At 39.6% G+C, this 26,148-nt stretch overlaps 1 protein-coding gene across 6 annotated transcripts in view, besides 1 other annotated feature; it reads left to right on the top strand.

Annotated features, from left to right (window-relative positions):
• SINHCAF (SIN3-HDAC complex associated factor) overlaps positions 1-20,352 on the top strand; it is a 45,567-nt gene extending 25,215 nt beyond the window's left edge. For all 6 annotated transcript variants that reach the window (NM_001135812.2, NM_021238.3, NM_001135811.2 and 3 more), the window contains 5 exons: positions 2,712-2,859; positions 5,603-5,702; positions 7,005-7,131; positions 13,152-13,302; positions 18,065-20,352. In NM_001135812.2, coding sequence (NP_001129284.1) covers positions 2,732-2,859; positions 5,603-5,702; positions 7,005-7,131; positions 13,152-13,302; positions 18,065-18,224 — 666 coding nt within the window. In that variant the 5' untranslated portion in view covers positions 2,712-2,731 and the 3' untranslated portion in view covers positions 18,225-20,352. The remainder of the gene's footprint in view (positions 1-2,711; positions 2,860-5,602; positions 5,703-7,004; positions 7,132-13,151; positions 13,303-18,064) is intronic.
• Positions 21,687-21,981: a silencer, noted in NCBI's record as "tiled region #11157; HepG2 Repressive DNase matched - State 9:DNaseU". NCBI's record gives its function as "represses a minimal TATA promoter and a strong SV40 promoter by Sharpr-MPRA in HepG2 cells {active_cell/tissue: HepG2}" and the evidence as "EXISTENCE:reporter gene assay evidence [ECO:0000049][PMID:27701403]".

Genomic DNA, 26,148 nt, shown 5'->3' with positions numbered 1-26,148 from the left:
GAACTGGCCTTTTTTGCTCTGCTTCTTTTGTCCTTGCTGAGAAGGGAGGCTGAAGTTTCCAAGAGTTATGGATGAAGTTGGAGAGTATTAGAGGAACTGTTCTCTGACCTTCTTGATGGTAATGCAAGCTGTTGGGCGAGTTTGGAGAAGAGCGCAGGGTGGTGTGAGGACGAGGGCCGTATTAACATTTTGCCTTAAAACAGGAATACACAAATTAAAGCAATAACTGCTACTCTGCTTTCTTGTTTCTGCAATCTTCTGTCATTTGACATTGTTTTTTCCAAAGCAACATGCGACCATTTTCTTCAGGATTTTCTTTTCAGTTATCATATGGGTTTGTTGTTGGATTGAGAAAAAAAAATCTGCCTCATTTGAGCAGGCCTCTCTAGATCTTTTCTTATGACTGTGTAGAGGGTACTTCCTCATTTTTCTTCCTCTCAAAGACATCAAATTCCCAAGCATTTAACTAAAATTATTATCAACTAAAAATGTTTTTTTTAAAACAGTTCTTAGAGGTAACTGTTTAGACTTAATTATTGAAATGCATGAAGGCCTTCTGCCTTGCCCCCATCCCACTCTTTTGCCTGCCTCTCTCACCAACAAAAACATGGCAGAGGAACAGTTTATTAACAATAGCCTGTTTGAAAGGGAAGCTTCAGTTTTTAGCTAATTATTTGCTAATAAAAGTTTTAAAAAAATTTTCTTTTAAAAGTTGTAAAACCTCTGTCTATATTTCAAAACCCCTCAATACCAAAAAAATACACATAAAAAGCCTGGATATTTGGTTCTGAATCATTTTCATTAATACTTGCTATATTATACTAACCAGAATTGGAATGGAATGGGATCAGACGAGATAATCCAAAGACAAATACAGCCATATGTCACACAAGGACGTTTCGGTCAACCACAGACTGCATATATGATGGTGGTCCCAAAAGATTATGATACCATATTTTTTTGTACCTTTTCTATATTTAGATGCACAGATTCTTACCATTGTATTACAGTTGCCCACGGCATTCAGTACCGTCACACGCTGTATAAGTTTGTTGCCTTGGAACAGTAGGCTATCCCATATAGCCTAGGGGTGTTGTAGGCTATTGCCATCTTGGTTTATGTGAGGACACTGATGTCTGCACAAGGATGCCCAATGATGCATTTCTCAGAATGTGTCCCCATTGTTAAGCAACACATGACTGTACTGAAGCTTTAGGTTTACTCATCTAAGTTTATTTCTAAAACAACTTTAAAAAGATAGTGTTCTGTGGTAATAACTCCTAAAACTATGGACACGAAAGTGATATTAATAATTTTCTTGGCCGGGCACGGTGGCTCACGCCTGTAATCCCAGCACTTTGGGAGGCCGAGACGGGTGGATCACAAGGTCAGGAGATCGAGACCATCCTGGCTAACATGCTGAAACCCTGTCTCTACTAAAAATACAAAAAGTTAGCCGGGTGTGGTGGCGGGCACCTGTAGTCCCAGCTACTAGGGAGGCTGAGGCAGGAGAATCACTTGAACCTGGGAGGCAGAGCTTGCAGTGAGCCTAGATCGCGCCACCGCACTCCAGCCTGGGTGAAAGAGTGAGACTCTGTCTCCAAAAAAAAAAAAATTTTTTTCTTTTATTGTTGCTTTATGTGATAATTTTGTGATAATTTATAGTTAGACCCTCATACATACACACATCCTCTGACTTGTCCATTGGAGTTTAGTTTCTATATTCATTGCCTTTTCATCACCTCTCTTAGTCCGGTTGTTTTGGTGAGCTGGCCCTTGATTTGGATATTCCAAATTACTTTTCCTAAGGTACAGATTTACTGCCAGCTACATATTTGCATCCAGCCCCAGAGCTGTTTTCATTCCTTCCTTGACGTTGAGATTTTTTTTTTTTTTAACAGGAGGACTGCAATTTATTTCACTCTACGTCTCTGGGACATTTGCCTCCCACTGTTACTACTCTCAGGCACAAAGCCTTGTAGAAGAGGTCCACAAACCTCTAACAACTAAGGGGCAGATCAGCGGTCAGACAACATGAGCTCGTTCTTTTTTTGTCTTAATGATAATAAGGAATTATTATTATTAAATTCTAACCTTGGATTTTTGTGAATTTTACATCTTCCCTTCAGCAGTTTCAATTCAGGGGCAAACTTGACTGCTTAGAACTTCCCATTTATCACAGAAGAAATCCCCTCTGAATTCCCATTAGGCAAAGTAGTATGGGCTGATGCATAGTGAGCTAGTTGTGTGCTTAGTATCAAATAGTATTCATGGTAAATGCTCAAAACTTCCCCAGAGGGGAATCACGTTAATGCAAATGTGCAAAATAAAAAGGTGTGTCTTAAATTTAAGGATGCATCCTTAATTGTGTACAGCTTCATTATTTTACAGGATTGTTTGTGGCATTTCTTACTTCAAAACCTGATTTTAAAAAATGCTTCTCTTCCCCATTTTTAGATTGCATGTTTGTTAGGCGAGTTAGGAGGTAGTAGAGTCCTCCTTAAATAACTAGGCTTTTCTTTGTGTTTTATACGCTTGCCTTGATAGTGCCAAGAATGGAGGTCGATCCAGGAGGTCTTCCCTTGAGCTGCCTGCCTGTCTTGGTCATATAACACCAAGTTGCTTGGGGGTGGGGTGGAGCAGAGAGAACTCTTTAATGGTTCCTTGTTACAGCCCTCAACAAAGATATGTCAATTCCCTTGGCTTTACAGACTATTGCCCAGAAGAAAAGATGTTTGGTTTTCACAAGCCAAAGATGTACCGAAGTATAGAGGGCTGCTGTATTTGCAGAGCTAAGTCCTCCAGTTCTCGATTCACTGACAGTAAACGCTATGAAAAGGACTTCCAGAGCTGTTTTGGGTAAGATCACCTGATGTTTGTACTATTCTTAGAGTGAAAAAATACCACAGCATACAGAAATATTTGTAAGCAAGGTGATTGGAACAATGTGCTAATAATAAAAATCACTTATTCTAATTTAGGCTGTGTAAGTCTCCTGCTTTTTAAATGAATCAAACAATGCTGACAGCCTACTTTTTTCCAGATTATGAGGAGCTACCACATTAATCGTGAAGCCCCTTAAAGTTGTAGCTAGACAAACCCTTTTGTTGTTGACTTCCTTTTGTGGTTAATTTTTAAAAAGGCTTTTAAAAAAATTACCCTTGACTGGGTGCAGTGGCTCACACCAGTAATCTGAGAGCATTTTGGGAGGCCGAGGCGGGCGGATCACGAGGTCAAGAGATCGAGACCATCCTGGCCAACATGGTGAAACCCCATCTCTACTAAAAATACAAAAATAAGCTGGGCGTGGTGGTGCACACTTGTAGTCCCAGTTACTCCAGAGGCTGAGGCAGGAGAATCACTTGAACCCAGGAGGCGGAGGTTGTAGTGAGCCGAGATCACGCCACTGCACTCCAGCCTGGCGACAGAATGAGACTCTGTCTCAAAAAAAAAAAAAAAAAAAAAAAATTACGCTTGACCGGGTGCAGTGGCTCACGCTAGTAATCCCAGCACTTTGGGAGGCTGAGGCAGGTGGGTCACTTGAGCCCAGGAGCTTGAAACCAGCCTGGGCAACATGGGGAAACCCATCTCTACAAAAAATACAAACAAAAAACTCACCAGACGTGGCGGTACATGCCTGTAGTCCTAGCTACGTCGGAGGCTGAAGTGAGAGGATCACCTGAGCCTGGGAGGTTGAGGAAATGAAGATACTAAAATAAAAATAAAATTTAAAAAGGCATGCATGGTTGGCACAGACCTTTTTGACACCTTCAGAATAGTTAAAAAGTCCAGGATTAACAATAAATGATCAACAAATGTTTTGATAAGAAAAAGTGGTGAAAGTAATTTCTAACATGGGAAATCATTCTTTTTTTCTTTTCTTTTTTAAAGAGACAATGTCTTCCTATGTTGCCTAGGCTGGAGTGCAGTAGCTATTCACAGGTGTGATCATTGTGCACCACAGCCTTGAACTTTTGGGCTCAAGTGATCCTCCCGTCTGAGCCTCTCGAGTAGCTGGGACTACAGGTGTGCACCACCTTACTCAGCAATATAATCGTTTGTTTGTTTGTTGGTTTGTTTGAGACAGAGTCTCACTCTGTCACCCAGGCAGAACTGCAGTGTCACTGTCATGGCTCACTGCAGCCTTGACCTCACTGGCCTCAGGTGAGCCTCCCACCTCTCTCTCCTGAGTAGCTGGGACTACAGGCATGTACTACCATGCCCTGCTAATTTTTCTATTTTTTTGTAGATACAGGATTTTGCCATGTTGCCCAGGCTGGTCTCGAACTCCCGGCTGCCTCAGCCTCCTAAAGTGCTGGGATTACAGGCATAAGCCACCTCATCTGGCCATTTTCATTTTTTAAAACTACAGTGCCTCTCTGGTTTTGTTTGCTGCGAAACTGGAATATTATGGCACATTATTTTACTTGCCAAAGGTTAGCATTTTGATACTTATGAAATATCTACACAGGCCGGGTGTGGTGGCTCACACCTGTAATCCTAGCACTTTGGGAGGCCAAGGCGGACAGATCAGTTGAGCCCAGGGGTTGGAGACCAGCCTGGGCAACATGGCAAAACCCTGTCTCTACAAAAAATACAAAAATTAGCCAGGCGTGGTGGCACGTGCCTGTGGTCCCAGCTACTAGGGAGGCTGAGGTGGGAGGATCACTTGAACCTGGGAAGTTGAGGCTGCAGTGAGCCATAATCCCACCACTGTACTCCAGCCTGCGTGACAGAGTGAGATCCTGTTCACCCCCACGCCCCCACCAAAAAAGAAATATATTTACACATTTCAAGAAAGATTAATTAAACAGCAATGTTTAAAACCGTGATAATCAGAATCTCTTTTAGGTCTTGAGTTTTACTCTTTAATTTTAAAAGCATTTTTTTAAATTAAATTAAAAAAAAAAATTTTAAAGTAGAGATGGGGTCTCCTTGTGTTGCCCAGGCTGGTCTCGAACTCCTGCACTCAAGTGATCTTCCCACCTTGGTCTTCCGATGTGCTGGGATTACAGGTGTGAGCCACCACACCAGCCTATTTAATTATTTAATTTTTTTTTTTTGAGATGGAGTCTCGCTCTTGTTGCCCAGGCTGGAGTGCAGTGGTACAATCTTGGCTCACTGCAACCTCTGCTTCCTGGGCTCAAGCGATTCTCCTGCTTAAGCCTCTTGAGTAGCTGGGACTACAGGTGTGCACCACCACACCAGGCTGATTTTTGTATTTTTAGTAGAGACACGGGATTTTGTCATGTTGGCCAGGCTGGTCTCAAACTCCTGACCTCAAGTGATCCACCCATCTCAGACTCTCAAAGTGCTGGGATTGCAGGCGTGAGCCACCGCACCCAGCCTGGCCTATTTAATTTTAAAAGCATTTCTTATTTCAAAATAACCAAATTGCCGTACATAGAATTGGTTTGTTGAATCTAGAAGATAATTTTATTTCTGAAATATTCTATAGAAACAATGGAATGGGATCATCCAGGATGATTAAATTGTATCTATAAACCATACATAGATACAGTTTTTTCCCCAAAAGAAATGTGCTTGCATGAATTCTTTAAGGTAAGGGAGACTGATAAAGGTTTGATTGTTTTCTTATCAGATTGCATGAGACTCGTTCAGGAGACATCTGCAATGCCTGTGTCCTGCTTGTGAAAAGATGGAAGAAGTTGCCAGCAGGATCAAAAAAAAACTGGAATCATGTTAGTCCATCTTTCTTTTTTCTCAATTATACCTCTACTGTATTTAAAGTAACATTAATTTCCCCCTAATTTAGGAAGTAATATATCCCTAGGGTAGAAAAGTCTGAAAAGAATAAAGAAAAACACTAGCTGCTGTTCAGATATAATGGCCTAACATTTTGGCATCTTTAGAACAGAATAGCCTGGTGTGGCATTTCCTTAAGGCTGTATCCAATATCCCCCTTCTGGAGATTCACAGTAAGCATTCACCTGTTTTTAGGCTTAACTCAGTAATTCCCAGAGTTAATTAGACATGAATTCTTTTTCTTAAATCTCTTTGGATAACATGATCCTTTGAACTCAGGTTGGTACTAATGAACATGTAGATCAGACTTGAATTTGAATTTTGCCTTTACCACTTACTAGTTGTGGATTTTGGGCAGGTTATATTTATTCATGAAGTGCAAAGATAATAGCTCTCTTACAGAGCTATTGTGAGAACTGGATGAGATGGTGTATAGAAAGTATAACACAGTTATCGTTCACACTAGCCTTACATTGTCCTTTGATGACAGTGTTATGTTATTATAATAGGTCATGATTTTGAAGATGATAACAACCTTCCTTTTTACATGGGGTAGAAATCTGCAGCTAATAAATGTGAATGAATACCTAAGAAACAGGACCATATGGGGCGAGATCAATGGCTGGGCTAGACTGTGGGAGAACATGCTATTGCTGTCGTGTAACTCACCTCAGAGATTAAGGTGTAAAGTGAAAAAAGCATAAAGAATAGGCCTGAAGACCTTGATTCCAATCTTCTCCCCTCTCCACCCCTCTTACCCATTTACTCGCTTGGTGAAATAAGGCAAAATGCATAATTTATCTTTGCCTTGTTTTCCTTCTGTCTAAAATTGGAGTAACAAAAGTAGCTCTATTTTTTGCTTTGTACTAAATATAAAAAGTATATGAAAGCTTTTCGTAAACTGCAAAACATTATCCTGTAGAAATGGAGTTGTTTTTAGGTTTGATTCTTAACCTAGCTGGGTCATCCAGTAATGATTATCCCATATACAAATCTATTTAAATTTTTTTCCAATAGACTCCCACTATTACCCACTTCACAGGAAAGAATATCTTTAAAAACCCCAGTAGATAAATATTATTTATTCCCTTATGTCATGTGATGATTAAAGGTGCACATGGAGCTTCATCCTCTTTTCAGTATAAAACTGTGGTTCTCAAATAGGCACGGATCTGAACCAAAGGGATACACTGGTGTCATTTTAAAAATATTATTAAATATTCAGTATTTTCTTCCAGGTGGTAGATGCAAGGGCTGGACCCAGTCTAAAGACTACATTGAAACCAAAGAAAGTGAAAACTCTATCTGGGAACAGGATAAAAAGCAACCAGATCAGTAAACTGCAGAAGGAATTTAAACGTCATAGTAAGTTTGATATTACAACATTAGTACTTAATAATTGTTTTGTTATTTTTGGCTGGGGGTGGTGTATGGCATGTGTGGATCATTTTTTCCTTTATTGCTTTTTATAAAGAGCACTGGAAGGCAACGTTGACTTGGTAGAGATGTTATCTTATTTCTGTGAAATGTTGGCACTTTTTCTGATTTTGATGTCTCAAGAGAGTATTTCTACTAGCTAACCACTTCAGATTGTACTGAGACCACCCTGATGTCTTTATTGACATCTTAATTTTCTAGAAGGTGCATTTCTAGCTCATTTACTTGATTTTTATCCATAAGGAAATTGAGTCCTGCAGATGTGCAAGAAGGTACGTAAAGGGGACAATCTGAGACCAAAGTCCAGATTTTCTGGAAAGTAACTTTAGAAATCATAACGCACATATTGAAATTCAGCCAACCTCAGGGCTTGCTTTCAGGTTTAAGGGGCAGTGTGTGTTGTGTGATAGAATGAGAAAGGAATGTCTAATTAATTAATGTCAGGTCACATGCTATTATTGGAAGTTTTGGGGGGTTGCTGTAATGGCACATCTGTATTTTGGAATTGAGATTTTAGATTTTGAAAAGGAAATACACTGCATATAATGTTATTGTCTAATAAATATCTCTATTACCCTTGGGGTTTGAAGGAGCATTATTGAACCAAACACATTAGTATTTTTACAGCAAAAAGTAGCAGTATTCACATTTAGTGGAATAAATAGATGGTACATAGGCTAGTCAGGTTTGTCTGCTTATAGTCATAGTTTAGGTCATGCCAGATTTTGTGGCCAAATAGGTTAGGAATATACTTTCTGTTTCCAGAGCTTTCTCAGAATTGCGGCTAGGGGTTGTGGATCTCTATTGGAGCTCTCAGTACTTTTAAAAAATCTATAGGGCCCTGTTAGAGAGAACATTATCAATCAAGACATGGTTATCATGCTTGTTTTAGAATAATGGAAAAAGACATCTAAGTTTAGTGACGGTAAAGTGAGGAGTGCAGGAGAACTCAACATTTTTTGAGCATTTTGGTATACTAAGCACTTTACATATGTAATCTCAGTTATTTCCATCTTAGAGCTCAGAATAGGAGGCACAAAGAGGTGATTTAAACTTGATCTGGGCCACTTAATAAGTGGTAGAGATGTAAAATATTTAGGAAATATAAATTTGTATATGTATTTTAATTATACACTTACCTTTCCTAACCAGCTCTCAACCCCCCATCTCCCTAAAGATTTAACTCTACCTTCCATTCTCACTAGATATTTTCTTTTATTTCTTTTTTTTTTTTGAAACAGGGTCTCGCTCTGTCACCCAGGCTGGAGTACAGTGGTGTGATCTTGGGTCACTGCAGCCTCTGCCTCTGGGGTACAAGCAATTCTTGTGCCTCAGCCTCCTGAGTAGCTGGGACTACAGACATGCACCACCATGCCTGGCTAATTTTTGTATTTTTAGTAGAGTTTGGGTTTTGCCATGTTGCCCACGCTGGTCTCAAACTGAGCTCAAGCAATCCACCCACCTCGGCTTCCCAAAAGTGCTGGGATTACAAGTGTGAACCATCACACCCAGTCCTCACTAGATGTTTTAATGAACATTTGGGAAACATTAATTTTCTTTTATCACTTGAAGGCCGAGGAACTGATTATTCATATGTATATTCTTAGCCCTTTCCCTTAATTATAGAGAAAGTGATATCTCACTTTTGTCTTACTTAAGGGAATATTCAGTGTAATTTTAGATTTTTATTATGAAACTGTGCTGTGTAGTAGTTAGAGACTGAAAATAAATTCCTTTGATAATAAGGTGTGTAGATTGTGGAGGCTCAGACTGAAACAGGGTGTTCACCAGGTACAGTATAAATTGCTGGCACCTTTGTGCATTGAAGCAGTTGGGAAACATGTGAATTTTTATATATCACCCACTAAATGGTCTGTGCTTCTGGTTATGTGTTTGCTTCTGTGTATCCTGCACATACCAGGCCTGTATTCTCTTCTTTCTTTCTTTTTTTTTTTTTCTGAGATGGAGTCAAACTTGCTCTGTCAACCAGGCTGGAGTGCAGTGCAGTGGCACGGATCTCAGCTCACTGCAACCTCCCCCTACTGGGTTCAAGCGATTCTCCTGCCTCAGCCTCCCGAGTAGCTGGGATTACAGGTGCATGCCACCACACCCAGCTAATTTTTGTATTTTTAGTAGAGACAGAGTTTCGCCATGTTGGCCAGGCTGGTCTTGAACTCCTGACCTCAGGTGATCTGCCCTCCTTGGCCTCCCAAAGTCCTGGGATTTCAGGCGTGAGCCACCGTGCCCAGCCCTGTATTCCCTTTTCAAGACATTTTGTGGTGTACTGAAAAGGCATTGGACCTAGAGTTACAGATCTGGATTTGAATATCAGCTCTTGTCACTAGCAAATGTGTAACTCTGGAGTCACTTGACGTTTAACCATAATTTTCTAATCAGAGAACTGGGGATAATCAAGTAAAAAATGGCTTTGTAAAACAAAATAAATTCGTCTATAAATGTTAGCTATTCTTTTTGTGTCATCCTTTTCAAAATCTGCAGTGATTTCTGCTTACTATAAAATATGGTTGAGAATTCCTAGAAAGTGTTTGAAGGTCCTATTTTTGTTTGAGCTGAGTCAGTTCCTGGAGTGTTTTTGGCTTCCACAGCTTTGCTCATTGACTTTGCCCATTGTCCCTACCGACTTGATGCCATCTAATCACTCCTTGGTGCCTTCTAAATCCTACGTAATTTTTAAGACTTAAAATTGCAGTTTGGGCTGGGCATGGAGGCTTACACCTCTAATCCCAGCACTTTGGGAGGCCGAGGCAGGTGGATCACCTGAGGTTGGGAGTTTGAGACCAGCCTGACCAACATGGAGAAACCCCGTGTCTACTAAAAATACAATATTAGCTGGGCGTGGTGGTGCATGCCTGTAATCCCAGCTACTTGGGAGGCAGAGGCAAGAAAATTGCTTGAACCTGGGAGGCAGAGGTTGTGGTGAGCCGAGATTGTGCTATTGCACTCCAGCCTGGGCAACAAGAGCAAAACTCCGTCTCCGAAAACAAAAACAAAACAAAACAAAAATGGTCAGATAATTGAAATTTCAAATAGTTTAAAGATATTAAGCACTTCCTAGGAGAGTGAGTTTTCCTCAGCAGCATAGAGGTGTCTGTTGATGTTAATTATTTAGGAAGTCTTAAACATCCCACTAGACTCATTTTTTTAAAACCTGCTACTCTTGAGGATTTTGTTTGCTAAGTTAACATATTAAAAATACTAACGGGGCTTTCTTTTAGATACCTAATTTTATGCTGTTTTATGTAAATATTTGTAAATATAAAATATTTGTGAGCTCTATTCAGAAAACGTTTTCTTGACTGGGTGTGGTGGCTCACACCTGTAATCCCAGCACTTTGGGAGGCCAGGAGTTCAAGACCAGCCTGGCAAACATGGCGAAATCCTGTCTACTAAAAATATAAAAAAATTAGTTGGGTGTGGTAGTGCACACCTGTAGTTGTAGCTACTCGAGAGGCTGAGGCATGAAAATCCAAGAGGTTGGAGGCTGCAGTGAGCTGAGATCCAGCCACTGCACTCCAGCCTGGGCGACAGAGTGAGACTCTGTTTTAAACAAACAAACAAACAAACAAACAAAAACAAAAACATTTTCTTGGCTAGGTGTGACCATGCCTGTAATTGCAGCACTTTGGGAGGCCGAGGTGGGAGGATCGCTTGAGGCTAGGAGCTCCAGACCAGTCTGGGCAAATAACGAGACCTTGTCTCTGCTAAAAATTAAAAAAATAACCAGCCGAGTGTGGTGGTGTGTGCCTGTGGTCCCAGCTACTCAGGAGACTGAGACGGGAGGATTGCTTGAGCTCAGGAGGTTGAGACTGCAGTGAGCTGTGGTCATGCCACTGCACTTCAGCCTGGGTGACAGAGTGAGATCCGGTCTCAAGGAAAACCAAAAGATAAAAATAATTAAAAAAAAAAAAAAACCCAAATTTTCTTTAGTCTGTTTCTTTCCATGCAGCATGTAACATAGGATTTGATGCCTTATAAATATTTAATAAGTACTTGATTGGTTATCTGAATGGAAGGATTGCTCTGTCAACGTGTCCTGGGATGGGCAAGGTGTATGGTAGGCCCCACCTGTGTTTATGAGGTTTATGATACTGCTCTTGCTGTGACGTGGCAGTACAACAGCCTTATAGCACAATGACTGTTAACTAAGAAACTTATTTTCTGGCTTGTACATTTATCTGACATCTTCACATAAACAGGCAAAGTATTAAATCAGGGTTAGCTCTGCATCTAATGAACTGCCTTTATTCCTTATTAAATCAGGATCTTTTGTTTTCTCTTTATAGGTATAATGTCATTATTCTTTGGCTGCTTTCAAGATTTTTCTCTTGGTTTAGTTTATAGAGGCTTAATTATGACGTGTTTTGGCATGGATTTCTTTGGGTTTATTCTGTTGGGCTTTGGTTAGCTTCTTGAGTCTTAGGTTTATGTCTCGCCAAATTTCACAAGTTTTCAGCCACTATATTTGAGTACTTTTTCACCTCTATTCTCTTTTTCCTCTCCCTCCAGGACTGCAATGACATGAATGTAGATGTATGTTTGACTAAGCTCCACAGGTTTCTCCTGCTCTGTTCATTTGTTTTCTGTGTCGTTCATATGGGGCAATTTCTGTTGTTCTTTCTTCCAGTTCACTGTTTGTTTTCTCTCTCCCCTCCATGTTGCTCAGCCCATCCACTGTGGTTTTTATTTTCTTTATTGTATTTTTTTCAGTTACAAATTTTCCATTTATTTTTTCCTTATAGTTTTCTATCTTATTTTTACTGAGGCTTCCTATTTCTTTGCCAAGCCTATGTTTTCATTTATTTCAAACATGTTCATAATTGCTCACTGAAGCATTTTTGTCGTGGCTGCTTTAAAATCTTGGTCAGATAATTCTAATGTCTTTGTCATCTTAGTGTTGGCCTTTTCATTTAGTTTGAGATCTTCCTGATTCTTGGACTGATGTAATTTTTTATTGAAACCTGGACATTTTCAGATTATGTTGTGAGACTCTGGGTCTTATTTAACCCTTCTATTTTAACTGGCTTTTTTGACACCCCTCAGGGCAGGGAAAGAGGGAGGGGCCTCACCACCCTATTACTTACCGCCAGGTGTTAGAATTCCAGTTTCTCTCTCAACCTCCATTGACATCTGAGGTTGGGGGGAGGGGGAGGCTCCTTGTTACTACTGGATGTCAGGAGAGAGTTCAGGCTACCACCTGGTGAGGGTGGCCTTGTACTTAGTGGGCCATAATGAAAATCCTGACTTCGCTAGGCTTCCTCTGACACCACCCTGGTATAGGTGTTGGGGTGCTTCCTAAGTCTTGTGAGGGTGGAAATGTAGGCTCTTCACCTCAGCCTCTGCTGGGGTTAGGAAAGGTGTCCACAGTTTTTTCCGTGGGTTTGGCTGGAACAGGAAGGTTAGTGTTCAGAAATGTTTTCTGTCTGGCTAGGCTGCCCTTTTCCTAGTTCTTTGCTAGAGAGATCAGGTTTTAATTGGGGTTTTGGATTTTTGTTTTGTTGTTGTTGTTTTGATTGTCTGTACACATTGGCATTTCTGGGTGGCTGCTGTTTCACTTCCAAAGCTGGGGATTATGAGGCAAAAGGAAAATCCAGAAAAACTAAGGAACCTACCACCATGGCTTGCCTTGGGTCTTGAGCTCCCTAGATGATCATCACCTTTTGGAGTCTCAGGTTTGTTTTATATATAATATCCAGGGATTTTAGTTGTATAAGCAGGAGGAATAGGAAGTATGTCTATTCCATCTTCTTCACTTCTTTAAAAAACACGTTAGTCTGAATATCTTCAAATATCAGTAGTGCATAGAAAATGAATTATTTTTTACTTTTTCTTTTTTACCAACTCTTTCACAGTGTCTTATGCTGAGGTTTAGTTGCAATTACATGTAATGAAATTGAAAATTTTATTTTTTCTCTTAATCTTTATTGCAGATTCTGATGCTCACAGTACCACCTCAAGTGCCTCCCCAGCTCAATCTCCTTGTTACAGTAACCAGTCAGATGACGGCTCAGATACAGAGATGGCTTCTGGTTCTAACAGAACACCAGTTTTTTCCTTTTTAGATCTCACTTACTGGAAAAGGTAAAAGAAACAAAGTATCTCTCTAACCAGCAAACCATCTTAATTATGGGCAGTATTTTTCTACTTCCTTAGCAATTAAATGGCATTTGGCAAACAGTTGGTAACACACGATTGCAGTGGATTAAGCAGGAATTGAGCAGGGAAGTGGGATTTTTGTATGTTCTTCCTATTAAAATTTATTTAAAATAAAAATCACATCAAGGTACCTACATTGCCTATTGCTAGATAAGTGGAGTAGAAAGACAATATGCAGTGGAGAGAATCAGTAAAACTAAGAGTTGGTCCTTCAAAAAGACGTGACCAAAAATATACTAGAGATAAAGTGGATCAGGAAAAGGAGATAATACACATAAGCAATTTTAGGAAAGAGAAAAGAGACTTAGGTATAGATAAAGCAGACATTTAAAAAATAATAGGATATTATAGACAACTTGATGCCAATAAATTTGAACATACAGGTGAAGCAGGTACAGTACTAGAAAAAAGACATGTTGCTAAAGCTGTCTCAAGAAAAAGTGAAAAACGGAGATAATCTCATAATAAATTGATTCAGGCCAGGTGTGATGGCTCACACCTGTAATCCTAGCATTTTGAGAGGCCAAGGTGAGGGGATTGTTTGAGCCTAGGAGGTTAGGTTTGCAGTAAGCTATTTTTGCACCATTGCACTCCAGCCTGGTGATAAAGCAAGACTCTATTTAAAAAAACAAACAAACAAACAAACAAACCACAATAGGCAAGTTGTACTAAACATCCAGGAACAGATGATTGGAGCCTATGCACTGGCTTTTCCAGACTATGGATAAAATAGGGCATAGGCCCCAAGCATTTTTAAGGCTGATATAAGTTTGATACCAAAACAAATATATCATCAGCCACTAGGGTTATTCTAGGTATGTAAGATTGGTTTGAACATGAGACGATCAACTAATATAATTTACCACATTGACAGTTTCTTTTTTTTTTTTTTTTTTGAGACGGAGTTTTGCTCTTGTTGCCAAGCTATAGTGCAATGGCTCGATCTCTGCTCACTGCAGCCTCTGCCTCCCGGGTTCAGTGATTCTCCTGCCTTAGCCTCCCGAGTAGCTGGGATTACAGGTGCATGGCCACCACACCTGGCTAAATTTTTGTATTTTTAGTAGAAAAGGGGTTTCACCATGTTGGTCAGGCTGGTCTCGAACTCCTGACCTTAGGTGATCCACCTGCCTCAGCCTCCCAAAGTGTTGGGATTATAGGCGTGAGCCACCGTGCCCAGCCCACATTGATAGTTTCTAAAGGAAGGTGTTGTCTTCTTAGTGGTGCAAAGAAGGAGTTTGACAAATTTGAACATTCCTTTAAGGTTTAAAAAAAAAAAAGTTTTAGCAAAATAGGAATAGAAGGAAACTTTTTTACTTAGACAACAGGTATCTTACAAAAAGGACAAAAGTACATAATACATAATTGTGATAAAATGAAAGCATTTTCTCTATGATCAGGAACAAATCAAGAGTGTTGACTATCACCATTTCTATTCAGCATTATACAGAAGGTTCTAACCAATACAATATTGGTAGTAGTGTAGTAGTAAACACTTTAGAACAGTGCCTAGTGCATAGTGTAAGTACTTTAAAGTACTTTAAACCACTTTGTTTGCATTTATTTAATCTTTTTTTTTTTTTTTTTGAGACAGAGTTTCACTCTGTAGCCCAGACTGGAGTGCAGTGGTGTTATCTTGGCTCACTGCAATGTCCGCCTCCTGGGCTCAGGCAATTCTCCCACCTCAGCCGCCCAAATAGCTGGGTCTACAGGCACGCACCACCATGCCTGGCTAATTTTTGTATTTTAGTAGAGATGGGGTTTCGCCATATTGGCCAGGCTGGTCTTGAACTTCTAGCTTCAAGTGATCTGCCTGCCTTGACCTCCCAAAGTGCTGGGATTACAGGTGTGAGTTACTGCACCTGGCCTTATTTAGTCTTTATGACAATTCTGTGAAGCATTATGTGAAAACACAGGTACAAAGAGGAAGTACTTTGTTTAAGGTTACATAGTAAGTAGAGCAGGATTTAAATCTAGGCAGTTTGGCATTAGAATGATACATTTTATCATAGTGTTAGGAAATATAAAATAATGTAGTAAAATATCAAAAGCCCTTTGGAGGAGTTATGTAAAAATCATACAATATTGTCGAATAACATTTATTTATGTGTGTGTGTGTGTGTGTGTGTGTGTGTGTGTGTGTATGTATATATATAAATATATGTCTATGTTGAGAGAGAGAGACTCACTCTGTCACTTAGGCTGGAGTGCAGTGGTGTGATCTTGGCTCACTGCAACCTCCGCCTCCTGGGTTCAAGCGATTTTCCTGTCTCAGCCTCCGGAGTAGCTGGGATTACAGGCATGCACCACCACACCCTGCTAATTTTTGTATTTTTAGTAGAGATTGGGTTTCACCATGCTGGCCAGGCTGATAGTGAACTCCTGACCTCAGGTGATCTGCTCGCCTTGGCCTCCCAAAGTGCTGGGATTACAGGCATGAACCACTGCGCCCGGCCGTTGAATAACATTTAAAGACACCTAAATAAATTGAGAGGTATAGCACATTCATAGATATTATTAAACTGACTGTTAGGGAGATGATCACTTTGTAGATTCAGGGTAATTGCAGTCAAAATCCCAACATATTTATGGAACTTTACAAGCTAATTTATAATTTATATAGAAAAGCAAAGGGCCCAAAATAGGCATCTTCAGAAGAAAAAGAAAGATGTGGATAAACTTGCCCTAACAGAAATCAAGACATATTATGAAGCCATGGTAATTAATGTGTTTTGGGACTAGGAATAGAAAAATAAACCAATGGAATAGTATAGAGAGCCTGGAAACAAGGCCACATATGTATATAGCACTTGTTATGTGATACATGATGTGGGGGTGATTGGTGGGCGAAAATGGTCTGTTCAATAAGTGTTGCTAGGATATTAAGAACAACATGGTTATTCATGTGGAAAAATTGGGCTTGGGTTCCCTACCTCACACCATAGACAAACACCAATTACAGATGCATTAAAGTAGAAAATAGATTATGACTTTTGAGTGGGAAAGGATTTTTTTATGACAGAGTACTTAAGCATTTAAAAAAACCTCCAGGTTTAATTACATTATAATTATGAACTTAAATTCATCAAATAATACCATAAAGAAAATGAAATGATATCCAGCACATATATCTGACAAAGGATTAGTATCTGGAATATACAGACAACTCCTACAATGGAAGAAAAAGATAAACCAACAGAAAAATGGACACACTTAGAAAGGAATCATGAAATAACTCATTAAATGATAATGTGTTCAAACTTTTTGAAAATCAAGGAAATACAAAGTAAAATTTCAATGAGATACCATTTTATACTCATTAGATTGGTGAAAAAACTAAAATAAAGTCTATTACCAAATGTTGGGGAGAAGGTATGGAATGATGAGAACACTGTCAGTTATAGGTGTAAATAGTTATAACCATGTAGATAAATGGCCGTTTTTGAGTAAAGTTGAAGACGTTCCCATTCCTATATGCCAGCAATATAAACTAGTAAAAACCTTTAAGATGTGTCCACTGATTTATACATTAAAATAAGAGTAGATAAATAAAACTGTGTTATATATTCACAGGGTAGAATATTATACATGTTAAAATGAAATAAAGCTCTATAACAATATGTATGGATCTCAACGTTGACTAAAACATTGCAGAATACATTGTGATTCTGTGTGTGTGTGTGTGTGTGTGTGTGTGTGTGTGTGTAATGGATAACTGTGCAGTATGATTAGAGATGCCAACATACGGTGAAACCATGAAGTATAAAGAAAAGGGAGTGATAAACCTAAAATTAAGTGGGGAGAGGATGAGATGAGGTAGGATGGGACTGTGGAGGGGCCTGCAGGGGGCTTCATAGGAAATGATCTTTTTTCCCTTAGAGTATGTGGTCTGTAGGCATTCTCATTGTGTTGTCATTTTTGATGCCTTTGCTAACACACACCCTTTTTTGTTTTTTTTTGAGACAGAGTTTTGCTCTGTCTCCCAGGCTAGAGTGCAGTGGTGTGATTTCGGCTCACTGCAACCTCCACTTCCTGGGTTCAAGTGATTCTACTGCCTCAGTCTCCCAAGTAGCTGGGACTACAGGCACGTGCCACCACGCCTGGCTAATTTTTGCATTTTTAGTAGAGATGGGGTTTCGCCATGTTGGCCAGGCTGATCTCGAACTCCTGACCTCAAGTTATCTGCCCACCTCAGCCTCCCAAACTGCTGGGATTACAGGTGTAAGCCACCACACCCGGCCCACACATGTATTTTTATCTACTCAGTATTTAATTAAAAATTACCACTCAAGCACTTAGGAGTTGATAAAGAAAAAAAATTAAATATATATAAAAAATTGCTAGCTGCATCAGCCTGTTTATGGTGGCTGATTTTTTTTTCAAGAGTTGGTGATTTTGGAGGAAATAGTTAACAACATCAGGGGCAGCCTTTGAAACTGACTGCTGTCTTTCAAAATGCCGTCTTCCTCAATATTTGAGAAGATTCCAGTGTGGCCTTTAAGGCAACTGGGTAATTCCCCTTCTCTAGCTAATTGGGGTTACTCTAGGAGCCCTTTCACTTGGAATGTGCAAGATTGTAGAAGCACAACTCTTTGGTTATATTGGACTAGTTATAATAGTGAGTAGATTTCTTTTGTATTCCTATTTTTCTTCCTTATTAATGTATCTTGTTCTCCATTTTTTCTTTTAGACAGAAGATATGTTGTGGGATCATCTATAAAGGCCGTTTTGGGGAAGTCCTCATTGACACACATCTCTTCAAGCCTTGCTGCAGCAATAAGAAAGCAGCTGCTGAGAAGCCAGAGGAGCAGGGGCCAGAGCCTCTGCCCATCTCCACTCAGGAGTGGTGACTGAGGTTTTTATGTAGAAGGGGAACAAAAAAAAAAATATCTGAATTTTGAAAAACCACAAAGCTACAAACTGACCCTCTTTTTTTTTTGAGACGGAGTTTTGCTCTTGTTACCCAGGCTGGAGTGCAGTGGCGTGATCTTGGCTCACTGCAACTTCCGTCTCCCGGGTTCAAGTGATTCTCCTGCCTCAGCCTCCCAAGTAGCTGGGTTTATAGGTGCCCGCCACCAGACCCGGCTAATTTTTTAGTTTTAGTAGAGACGGGGTTTCACCACGTTGGCCAGGCTGGTCTTAAATGACCCTCTTATTTTTAACTTGGATACCTGCTATTCTGCCAAAAGACAATTTCTAGAGTAGTTTTGAATGGGTTGATTTCCCCCACTCCCACAAACTCTGAAGCCAGTGTCTAGCTTACTAAAAAAAGAGTTGTATATAATATTTAAGATGCTGAGTATTTCATAGGAAAGCTGAATGCTGCTGTAAAGTGCTCTTTAAGTCTTTTTTTTTTTTAATCCCCTTCTAATGAATGAAACTAGGGGAATTTCAGGGGACAGAGATGGGATTTGTTGTATGATAAACTGTATGTAGTTTTTAGTCTTTCTGTTTTGAGAAGCAGTGGTTGGGGCATTTTTAAGATGGCTGGCTACTCTTGTTTTCCCTCATGATAATAAATTTGTCATAACTCAGTAACATGAACTTGCCCCTAGAGGTAGTTGTTAATAATTTTGAAATATTAAGGTCTTGCCAAGCTTCTGATGATTCACACCTGTACTACTGATTATTAAGCAGGACAGACTGAGCTTTCTGTTGCAAATACCTTGGAGGAGAAAGTAATTTCTAAATATACAGAGAGGTAACTTGACTATATATGTTGCATCCTGTGCCTCCCTTCATATTAATATTTGATAAAGATTTTAATTTATGTAAAACTTCTAAAGCAGAATCAAAGCTCCTCTTGGGGAAATGGCAAGTCTTTAGGATAGGCAAGACCCTGTATGAATAGTACCAAAGCATTACCGCATGGTAGAGAACACACTCGATTAAAAATGTTAAGCTATCTGAAAAATAAAATGTGCAAGTCTTCAGGATGGCACAAAACAAAGGTTAATGCTTCTTGGGGCACATTTCTTAGAGGGCTTGCTGAGTGTGTAAATATAATCGACTTTTGTTTGTGTTACATGACTTCTGTGACTTCATTGAAAATCTGCACAATTCAGTTTCAGCTCTGGATTACTTCAGTTGACCTTTGTGAAGGTTTTTATCTGTGTAGAATGGGTGTTTGACTTGTTTTAGCCTATTAAATTTTTATTTTCTTTCACTCTGTATTAAAAGTAAAACTTACTAAAAGAAAAGAGGTTTGTGTTCACATTAAATGGTTTTGGTTTGGCTTCTTTTAGTCAGGCTTTCTGAACATTGAGATATCCTGAACTTAGAGCTCTTCAATCCTAAGATTTTCATGAAAAGCCTCTCACTTGAACCCAAACCAGAGTACTCTTACTGCCTCTTTTCTAAATGTTCAGGAAAAGCATTGCCAGTTCAGTCTTTTCAAAATGAGGGAGAAACATTTGCCTGCCTTGTAATAACAAGACTCAGTGCTTATTTTTTAAACTGCATTTTAAAAATTGGATAGTATAATAACAATAAGGAGTAAGCCACCTTTTATAGGCACCCTGTAGTTTTATAGTTCTTAATCTAAACATTTTATATTTCCTTCTTTTGGAAAAAACCTACATGCTACAAGCCACCATATGCACAGACTATACAGTGAGTTGAGTTGGCTCTCCCACAGTCTTTGAGGTGAATTACAAAAGTCCAGCCATTATCATCCTCCTGAGTTATTTGAAATGATTTTTTTTGTACATTTTGGCTGCAGTATTGGTGGTAGAATATACTATAATATGGATCATCTCTACTTCTGTATTTATTTATTTATTACTAGACCTCAACCACAGTCTTCTTTTTCCCCTTCCACCTCTCTTTGCCTGTAGGATGTACTGTATGTAGTCATGCACTTTGTATTAATATATTAGAAATCTACAGATCTGTTTTGTACTTTTTATACTGTTGGATACTTATAATCAAAACTTTTACTAGGGTATTGAATAAATCTAGTCTTACTAGAAAATAAAAGGAGCTGTTTTGTGGCTTTGTTTGACAGGTCTTCAGTAAGAATAATGTTTTTGGCTTTCACATATACTCAGTTTAAGTGCTTAGTATTAATAACAAGCCATGAAGGGAATAAATTCCTCTTCACTGAGACATAGACTTTGGAATAAAAGACATTTTAACTGATGTGCACAATTATTAATCTAGTGGATAAGATGGATTTAAAAGGAAGAACAAAATGTTCCCAGTACTTTTTACTGTCTGTGGTTTTATTACTATCTATGGGCATAGTGGGAAGCATCATTGAGACTTTAGGGAAACTATAAAAGTTGGAAGGGTGGTGGCATCAGGGGTTGGATGCTGGTTCTCAAGTTCCTAGCTCTGCCCCTTGTTAGTCATTTGAGTTAAATAATTAATGGGAATATCTACTTCACAGGATTATGAGGAATCCTAAGAGGTGTAATCCATATCAAACTTTTAGAAACCAGTTGTTTTATTACCTGGGAAAGGTAATAAAGGGCCAGACTTTTTATACTACTGTTAGTATTTAAATTTGGGATAGTCTGGATGCCACCTAATACAGTTACTATGAAATTAACAAGGTAACTAAGGAAGTTGATAGTACCAGTATTATCTATTGCTATGTCCTAAATTACCATAGATTTAGTGGCTTAAAACAAATGCGTCTCAGTTTCTGTCTGAGCATGGTTTAGATAGGTCCTTTAGAAAGCTCATGGTCTCATCTGCATTCTCACCTGGTGATTTGGGAAGAACTCATTTCAGCCTCACTCGGCTGGCAGAATTCAGTTCTTGCCACTGCAGGACTGAGTGTCCAGACCTCTCACTGGTTGTCAGCTGGAGGCCCCCGCTTAGTTCCTTGCCAGCTGGGTGCTCCCTGCATGGCCTGGCTGCTGACTGGACCACTGACATGATTACTGTCACTACCAGCAAGTGTCGAGAGCCAAGCTGCCAGCAAGAGGGGTCTTTTCAGGTCCTGCCCATATCCAAGGGGAGAGGCTCATACGAAGGATTGGATACCAAGAGGTGCGGGTGGGGCTAATGGGAAGGCACCTAGAGTTTGTCACAGCTTTTTTTTTTTTTAACTGAATCTCTTTAAATTGGTCGTCTCGCCCTACAATGCAAATGCTTTGTGTAGCAAGTAAAAAGAAAAATGGCTCTCACAATATGAAAAACCCTGGCTGGGCACTGTGGCTTATATAAACCTGTAATCCCAGCACTTTGGGAGGCCCAGGCGGGTGGATCCCTTGAGGTCAGGAGTTCAAGTCCAACCAGGCCAACATGGTGAAACACCGTCTCTACTAAAAATAAAAAAATTAGCCAGGCATGGTGGCATGCGCCTGTGGTCCCAGCCACTCGAGAGATTGAGGCAGGAGAATTGCTTGAACCTGGGAGGTAGAGGTTGCAGTGAGCTGAGTTGGGCCACTGCACTCCAGTCTGGGTGACAGAGTAAGACTCCACCTCCAAAGAAAAAAAAGAAAAGACCTACTGTTGGGCCAGACACTTTTAAACATTGTTTAAGTAACCCTGCAAAGTAAAAAAAAATCTATTTACCGGTAAGAGGAGGTGCCAGGAGGTCATGTAACTTGAATGAAAGAATCTGCTTTTCTTATTTGAAAGCCTTTGTTCTCTAAACTGTCTCCTGTCTGCTGCAGTAATGCTGTCCTAACCCTCATTGGAAACTATTCCCTGGGTCTCTTCTTGCCTCCCTTCTTTCTGAAGGCTGAAATGAGGGGCAAGTTTAACTTTTGCAGATACGTTGATCTTTAACTTAAATCAAATTCTGTTTTTTAATTTTGATAATGTTCAAAGTACCTATTATCTGTCTTTTTGTGGAGAAAACTGCTGGAGGTTTAGTGAAACGATATCTTAAAACAATTCATCAAGGTGGCTGCTCTGCAGTGAACAATAGAAGGTACCCTGGGAGCTCTTCTATTCAGCGTCCCTAGAACAGTTTCCTAGTGCCCCAGATTTAGCATTGTAGTGGCCAGGCAATCATTTTTGTGTGATGTTCAGTGAACTCGGAAGGGAGGAGAAAGCCAAATTAGATCAAAGATAGATAATTTCACAGGCTCATGTTCTCAAAGAAAGGGATCTGCGGGTTCTGTCTAACAATTTCTCAAGCTGTGGAGTTTGGTTACTCATTGTAGTCATGAGAATGCTTTAGGTATCAAATACCTTACACCCTGGTTAGAAACTGCTTGTTATTGTATGTTGACTAGGGGGTCTTAGACAAACTTAGTTGCAAGCTTTAGCATGAAAGAACTTAGTCATTCAGTTTAGAGAGAGACAAAAGATTTTTTTGCGAAAGCCTGCTCTTTATCTGAAAGGGGAAAATGATTTATTCTGTTTTACAGCATTTATTCTCTAAACTTCTATGGCTTATATTAGCTTAACTGTGTCTCCAGGTATTGGCTTTTTTTTTTTTTTTTTTTTCAGACAGAGTCTTGCTCTTGTTACCCAGGCTGGAGTGCAATGGCGTGATCTCGGCTCACTGCAACCTCCGCCTCCTGGGTTCAAGCGATCCTCCTGCCTCAGCCTCCCGAGTAGCTGGGATTACAGGCGCCTGCCACCACGCCCAGCCAATTTTATATTTTTAGTAGAGATAGGGTTTCACCATGTTGGCCAGGCTGGTCTTGAACTTCTAACCTCAGGTGACCCACTTGCCTCAGCCTCCCAAAGTGCTGGGATTATAGACGTGAGCCACCACGCCCAGCCAGTATTGGCTTTTTGCAAATAAAAGAGAAGGATTGTTTTTGCTTACATTTATATTTAAATCTCAAAATAATTAAAACTAAAAAATCTCAAATTATTTAGTAAGTTCCTGGTAGAGTTAAAATAGAAACCTGAAAAATTATACTTTTTTTTTTTTTCCTTTCCTTTTCTTTTTTTTTTTTTTTTTTTTGAGACAGAGTCTCACTGTGTAGCCCAGGCTAGAGAGCAGTGGCTCAATCTCAGCTCACTGCAACCTCTGCCTCCTGGGTTCAAGGGATTGTCCCACCTCAGCCTCCCGAGTAGCTGGGATTACAGGCATGTGCCACCATGCCTGGCTAATTTTTGTATTTTTTGGTAGAGACAGGGTTTCGCCATGTTTGCCAGGCTGGTCTCGAACTCCTGACCTCAAGTGATCTGCTCGCCTCAGCCTCCCAAAGTGCTGGGATTACTGGTGTGACCCACCATGCCTGGCCATACTGTTTTTTTTTTTTTTTTTCCCCTCAAGTAAGTGTATACTTGGCCTCCAATTAACTTTACAAATCTCTTCAATGTTGATCTGTCACTGATGGCTTCTTCATGAGACATTCCAAAGCCTTTATCTTATTTACCCAGCCTCTCCACAGTACTTAATACGATTGACAGTTTCTTTCTTGAAATACTCTTGGTTGAAAACACACTTTCTAGGTTTTCCTTGGACCTCAGATGCTCACTGGCCCAGGCTTCATCTTCAGCCTTCTTCCTAGATTATCTCCATTCCATGGTCCCAGATACCATATGAAATATGCAGACATCTCCCATATCTGTCTCTAGAGATTTTTATCAGTCCTGCTGGCAGGAAATAGATGGCTTACTGAAATTGGATAATTTGAGGAAAGTTTAATAAAAGGACCTTTACAAAGTTGTATGTAGGGTATAGGGAAACCTCAGGGTGAGTTTAGTTCTTGGGACTAGTAACATTGGAGTCCTGTTACTACTACTCCTGGGTCTGAAGATTGAATAGAGGGAGTTGGTTAATGGAACCAGGAGACCAACAGGCTATCTAAAAAGAGTGGGGGCCTGGAGGAAGCAGTAGGAGTAAATATTCTCACTCTCCAGATTGGCCAACTCCATCATTAGTGCCTTCACACCTGTTTGTTTTCTCTGACCCGTTTCCCTACCATCCTATAACTAGGCAACACCTACTTATTTATCCTTCAGGTTTAAGCTGAGGCATTACTTGGGGAAGCATTCCAGAATAATTCCTCTTTCTTCCAACACACACACGTACAAAATAACATGCTACATGGGTTCCAAGAGAGCATGAAGCACTGTTTAGTCACCACTACAGCTCCCAGAGGGGTTGATTAGGATATATTAATAGCAGGGTCACAATAAATATTTATATTGATTGATTGCTTACAACCTGGTATTTTCAGAAATCATATTCTTAGAAGAGTTGAATTTATCCCAACTGTCTTGAATTTTATTCAAGAATGTTAAAAAATACTTTGAAGAAATTTTAAGTACACAGAAAAGTTGAAAGAATAGTATAATAGTATAACTTTCACCTAGATCCACAAATGCAACATTTTACCATATGTGCTTTATCTAATTTCTTTTGCTGAATCATTTGAAAGTAAATTGTAACACCATGATACTTCACCCCTAAATACACATTCATCTAGGAATAAGAATATTCTCCTCCCTAGCCATAATGTCATTGCCATATCTGAGCTGATTAAGAATAACTCAATATCCAATATGATAGATCTGTATGGAATAAATTGTCCCTATCATCCCAAAGTGTCTTTTAAAACATTTTCTCCTCATCCGGGGTCTAGTCCAAGGTTCAGGCATACTTTTGGTTATATCTTTCCTCTTTTAATCTAGAATAGTCCTCTGCTTTTTCTGCCCATGGCAATGAACATTTTGAAGTGTCTAAGCCAATTGTCTTGTAAAATATCCCCTATCCTGGATTTTTCTGGCTATGTTTTATTATTATTATTTTTTATTTTGAGACAGAATATCCCTCTTTTCCCAGGCTGGAGTGCAGTGGCATGATTATAGCTTACTGTAACCCTGAATGCCTGGGCTCAAGCAATTCTCTTGCCTCAGCCTCCTGAGTATCTGGGACTACAGGCCTGTGCCACCATGCCTGGCTATCTTCTTTTTTGGTAGGGATGGGGTCTCACTATGTTGTCCAGGTTTGGTTGTTTTCTTAGTAGATGTGGATTTTACTTTTGGCAAGGATATAGCATAGATTGTGTGGTGCCTCTGTTACTGCATCATGTCAAGAAGCACACAATGTCAGGTTGTCCCACTGTTGGTGATGCTAAGATTAATCGCTGGGTTAAGATCGCCAGATCTTTTTCCATTTTAAAGTATATATCTTTTCTTTTGTAAATGAACAAAATAATCTGTGGGGTAATACTGTGAGACTTTTAAAACAACCTTTCATTGAGCACCTACGTACAAGGCCCTACTAAGTGTTCTAAGTAGTCCCTTGATGCTTGAGAAATCGTGTGGCTAGAATCGTGAAGTCCTTTTTGAGAATCGTAGCATACTAAGATTGTGGGGCTTTTTTCTTGTCATTTAATTGTGTGTGACTTTTATTTTCTATTCAGAAATAAGTATGTAGTGGATGGGGGTAAGGGTTATGTTTGGCACGTGAGCTTATTAGTTAATATCACCAGGGCATAGATGAATAAACAATGGAATTAGAGTCAGGAGACTTGAATTTAAATCCTGGTTTTGCTACTTACTGGCTTTATGATCTTTGATAATTTTTCTCTGAGCTCATTTCCTTTGTAAGTGGAGGAAATAATACCAAACACAGCTGTAGTAAGAGCAAAATGAGGATCATAGAGGGCCTGGCCTATAATAGGTGCACAGTGATAAGCACCTAATGATAAACTTGTTCCCTCATTTGTTCTTTAATCTTTAGGAATGAAGTCTAATTGGATATGCTAAGAATGAAAACTTTTTTGATCTGTAGTTATGATGAACACAGGAAAGGTCTTAAACAGTTCACATCAACAACCACCCCTCTGCCCCCATAAAAAAGCTCAAAGCTTTCTTAGGTTTCAGTGCTTAAAGGAGAATATGTAT

This window comes from Homo sapiens, chromosome 12 (assembly GCF_000001405.40).
Source record: "Homo sapiens chromosome 12, GRCh38.p14 Primary Assembly".
Lineage (NCBI taxonomy): Eukaryota > Metazoa > Chordata > Mammalia > Primates > Hominidae > Homo > Homo sapiens.
This window is presented reverse-complemented; position numbering and strand designations above follow the sequence as displayed.